Raw genomic sequence first — 5,035 nt, 5'->3', positions numbered from 1 at the left:
AAGAGATAGCAGGGTTTTACCCAAGGCAGGCAGCTCTTCATCTGGCATAGATGCTATTTCATTCACAGCATTAGGTATAATAACAGCAAAAGAAGCCCAACACGAAATTACAGCACTAAGGAAAGCAAAATAATTACAGTTTCGAAAAAAAAAAATCCCCAGCTCACTGAAAAGTAAAGCTTTATAAGCCCTTTGTGGAACTTCTGGATGATTCTACTAGATTTCTTCACTTAAAAAGTATTAATGATAGGAGTACTTGATGAAATTCTTTGGCAATTTTTACTAGTGCTTTTGAAGAGGATCAAAGTCATCAGTGTGTGGACATGACCAGACTCTGTTTAAAAACTATGTTTAATCGGTTTTTTACTCAGCTTCTTGGTGACAAGGACCTCAGTCATTTTGCAAGAACCTTTGTTAAGCTTTTTTGGGAACAAACTGACTTGCCAAGTACAATTAACAACGGTGAAGGTTGTAAAACACAGACATTCCTCCCTGCAGGTTCCAAACTCTAACCATAAAGAAAAGATATATTAAAAATAAATGGAAAAACAACCCCTTTGCCTTCATTTGCAAAGGCAGCTCTGTGTACTGGAGCTCTCACCCAGGAATCAGACAATCTAGACTGTCTTTTCAATACTGCCACTACTCAGCAAGCAGGGTGTTTAACCCCTCCAAGCCACACTGTCCATTTTGACAAAATGATGGAGTTGCAATAAATGACCTATAAATTAACTCATTTCTGTTCTAACACGGAGCTTCTCAGACACAATAATGAATGGGAAAGCTTCACATTGAGTGGGCAAAGATAACAGAAATCACCATCTAGGGAGGCCATTGAAGACACTGGCAGATTTAGAGGCTTTCTGTGTGTTTCACCAATGGAAGACCCACGTGCCAAGCATCTGAGTTGCAATGCTGAGCTTTCACCTGGAGATCTAAGCCAGTCACACACTCAGAGCTCTGACTAACATTAATGGTAACCCGTGTGTACATATCAATGCTGGAAGCAGTGACTGTACTTCAGAAACCCCCAGGTGAAGCCAAAGGCAAAACTATGGCTATAATTTTAAGCTCACGTTTTGAGCAAACCAAATACAATTTTAAAAGGAAAAAAAATGCCCAGTTTAATTGTCTCCCTGAGAATCCTTACACTATACCTTATAAAGGAAAATAAAATTAGAAACCTTGGTTTTAGTAGACTAACTGTCAATCCTCTCAACGAACAAAGACTCTCCCATGGCATCCCTTGTCTCTGTATTTATTGATGGCTTGTATCGTTCATCACACAATAATAATCTGGATGTGATGCAGCAGAAGAAAATGCAGAACTGTTTTAAATAATCATTTTTGTTTGTTTTTACTAAGTAGAACTACAGAATTAGTAGCATCCTGGCGCAGAGCTTTAAAAGTCTCAGTCAAGAAATTTCAATTGCCTTTGCAGCTTTTCATAAAAATTAATTTGATGATCAGCCAGATACTATCAACATACAAGATGCTTGGTACACAGAATATAATATGAAAAGCCAGGACAGAACATTACTAAGCATTTCAGAGCCTTCTGGAGTGAAATATAATTTTTAAGTAGATATTGGGAATTAGGGAATACATATCATGTACAATAAAGTCATGCTAAAAGATGTTCCTAGCTTATCTCAATCTCCAAAAGAGGCCATTTTCAATCTACTGCTTTTTAAATGTCCTAAATTTCTCCCTTTGAATGCAGAAATGCTAACATTTATTAAGCACTTCCCTGTTTTGGGTAATGTTTTAAATATTTCATTTGTTCAACAAATTTGTTATTGAGCACTGACTACTCGCCTGGCACTGCATCCAGTGTTAGGCATAGGGTTGTAAAAACCCACACCACCTATACCCTCATGGACTATATACACTAGAAGGGGAGGCAGAAATTGAATAAACAAACTTATTCAATATTATTACAAACTGTGAACAGTGTGATGAAAACTCTGCAAGATATCATACCTGGAAAAGAGAAGGGAAACCCTTCCTGAGAAAGTGAGTTGAGACCTAAGAGGTTTCCTCCAGGGAGCTGGTGGGAGCTGCCGACAGACAGAAGAAGATGGGCAAGGCTTTTGGGGATGGGTACTATCCCTACCCTCATACAACAAAAGGACAAACTGATATTTAAAGACATTAACTAACTTAGCCTAAGGCAATGCAGGTACTGCCTGACAAGTGAGGAGTCAAATGTGAGTGTACTATCAGAGCTTCAATAATGAAGGGACCTATGGGAAAAACAGGAAATGCATCCTCAATTATTACACTTATGAGTTCATGACATCTTGTGTTTCAGATCAACTGATTGTCCTCTGAAGGTGTCAGAGGAAAAAAAAATAATCCTCTTGTCATGAACAGCATCTTGCAATGCCTGGGCAAATCATTATCGCCATTATTATTATTATTTGGCTCCCTCAGAAGCTGCAGGCATTGGAGCACTGCCAATAACAGGAGATACGAGGTTCACTGAGCCAGAAGAATCATACCATAAATCCTGATGCCATTTTGAGAACATTAAAAAGCAAACAACCCATAACATTATAGAGCAAGAAGATGAACAAATATCACCTTCCCCCTGAATATGAGAACAAAGTGCATTAGATAAATAAAAGGCTGACCATATCACATAAAGGACACCGAGAACTACTGATGAAAACAGATCAAAGAAATGTATTCCACTTTTCTGTCTGGGCAAACCAGGTTACACAGTAATGATGGGGCTCAGATCACACTACCCCAAAATATGAGACCTTGGTATGTTGGCTATTTTAAGCTGAAAGAATCTGAGAAACATGTTTCCAGAGGGACTCTCTGACTTTCCTCTGCCCTTCTTCCCTGAAGCAGGTCATAAGGCTCTCATGTTCATGGTGCCTTCCTTATATCCACGGAAAGGAAGATCCTTATCTCCAAGACAAAGGATGTCAAGAAGAATCAAAACAAACAGGCTTTGCTGTTTCCTCCAGTTGATTACCCTTAGCTCATAATCTTTTCTTCTTTTTTTTTTTTTTACCCCATCATATTTGTCATTGACTCTTCATCAAACCTACCATTAAAACACTCCGGTTTAATTATTTCTTCACGTCTGCATTTCCTTATGAAGGCTCTTGTGCCATGAAAAACATGGTAAATCAATTTGCATGCTTTTCTCTTGTTAATCTGTCTTTTGTTACCGGGGCCCCAGCCAATGAACCTAAGAAGGATAGAAGGACAAGACATTGTTCCTCCCCTACAGTAGTTACCTGCGGAGCTGCCAGAAGCATCAGATAAGGCTCCACTCCTGATCAGTGTCCATTTCTACTATGTTTTTCTAACTAGCACCTAAAATGTTAATCAGCTATTAACAGTAGGGTCTCTCCAAAGTTATACAGCCAAACTTAGAAATAAGAATGGAATTTGGAAATGCTGATGAGACTGGAACTGTGCCAGGTGTCAAAGGGTAATTTTTTAAATAGATAAAATCCTGACTCTTACACAAATATCAAACAAACACATGTAATAATTTGATTTAACTTATTACTCAGAAAGAGAACCAGTAAAATGAAAGCTGGTTCAAAGGAGAAGCCAAAGAAAAGACATAGCTATAGATTAGGAATATTGAAATGAATTGCAAATGGAAGCAAAACTGGCCTCTTTCACAGTATACGAGGAGTGTCAATTGAAGTTCCACTGGATAGGACAGAAGTTGCATGCCTATATACAAGAATTATCATGCATTACTATCAATTATCTGCAACTTATAGAGTTGTAAAAATGTGCAAGGACAATGAAAGTTATAATTAGATAGCTCTTAAGTACATGGCCTTCCACTGAAGCACACATTTTTTTTTCCCCACACACAGAGATGAAATATATCCATTATGCCAGAACTGGTGACTTCAGGCAGATCATTGCATAATGTAAGGACAAGTAGAAATTAAAAATAAGAGGCTTAATTTGTTCCTGATTAAAATAAGGAAAGAAATTCCCCTCTCCTCCTTGTTCTTAAAGCATTTATTTTAGAAAACTTAAAATAATAAGTACTCTCTTTTCTCTTTGAAATGTATATAAATTCTTTTGAAAACTAAATAGGCCTTTTGTCAACTTTATGACCCAGGAATATTTTTTCTCAAGAAGCTGGGAGCCATCTTTTTGAAATACAAACATCAAAGGAGATAGCACTTCTCTTTCTGTGGGAGGGTTGGAGCCTTACTTCACTGACGCTGGAAGCCTTGCTCCGAGTTGCAAAACTACCTTTTTTCTTTTTTGATTAGTATTATTTTTGATTGACAAATCATAATTATATGACATGTATGGAGTATAATGATATGTTTTTCTCAACGCACACAATGTGCAATGATGAAATCAAGCTAATTAATATATCCTTCACCTTACTTACATAACATTTTTTGTGGTAATAAATTTTCTCTTAGTTATTTTGAAATATATAGTATATTATTATTGATTATATTCACCCTGATGTGCAATAGATCACAAGACTTCTTCCTCCTGTCTAGCTGAAACTTTGTACCCTTTGATCAGCAATTCTTCATTTCCTTGCTCCCTACTCCCACCCCCAGCCACCAGGAACATCATTCTACTCTCTACTTCTATGAGTTCAATATTTTTAGATGTCATGTATAAGGGAGATCAGGTAGTATTTGTTTTTCTGTGTCTGACTTATTTCACTTAGCATAATATCCTCTAGGTTCATTTATGTTGTCCCAAATGACAGAATTTCATTCTCTTTTAAGACTGAATAGTATTCCCTTGTGTATATGTACCACATTTTCTTTATCTATTTATCCATTGATGGACACTTAGGTTAATTCCATATCTTGGCTATTGTTAATAATGCTGCAATGAACATGAGAATGCACACATCCTTTCAACATACTGATTTCAATTTCTTTGGATCTATTTCCAGAAGTAATATGGTAGTTCTATTTTTAGGTGTTATTTGTTTTTGTTTTTGTTTTTGTTTTTGTTTTAAAATGGAGTCTCGCTCTGTTGCCCAGGCTGGAATGCAGTGGCATGACCT

General features: G+C 37.0%; 1 annotated feature.

Annotated features, from left to right (window-relative positions):
• Positions 2,779-3,482: an enhancer, noted in NCBI's record as "NANOG hESC enhancer chr2:75999954-76000657 (GRCh37/hg19 assembly coordinates)". NCBI's record gives its function as "activates a minimal SCP1, AML or CMV promoter by ChIP-STARR-seq in naive and primed H9 embryonic stem cells {active_cell/tissue: H9 hESC(naive and primed)}" and the evidence as "EXISTENCE:reporter gene assay evidence [ECO:0000049][PMID:30033119]".

Source organism: Homo sapiens, chromosome 2, assembly GCF_000001405.40.
Source record: "Homo sapiens chromosome 2, GRCh38.p14 Primary Assembly".
NCBI lineage: Eukaryota > Metazoa > Chordata > Mammalia > Primates > Hominidae > Homo > Homo sapiens.
This window is presented reverse-complemented; position numbering and strand designations above follow the sequence as displayed.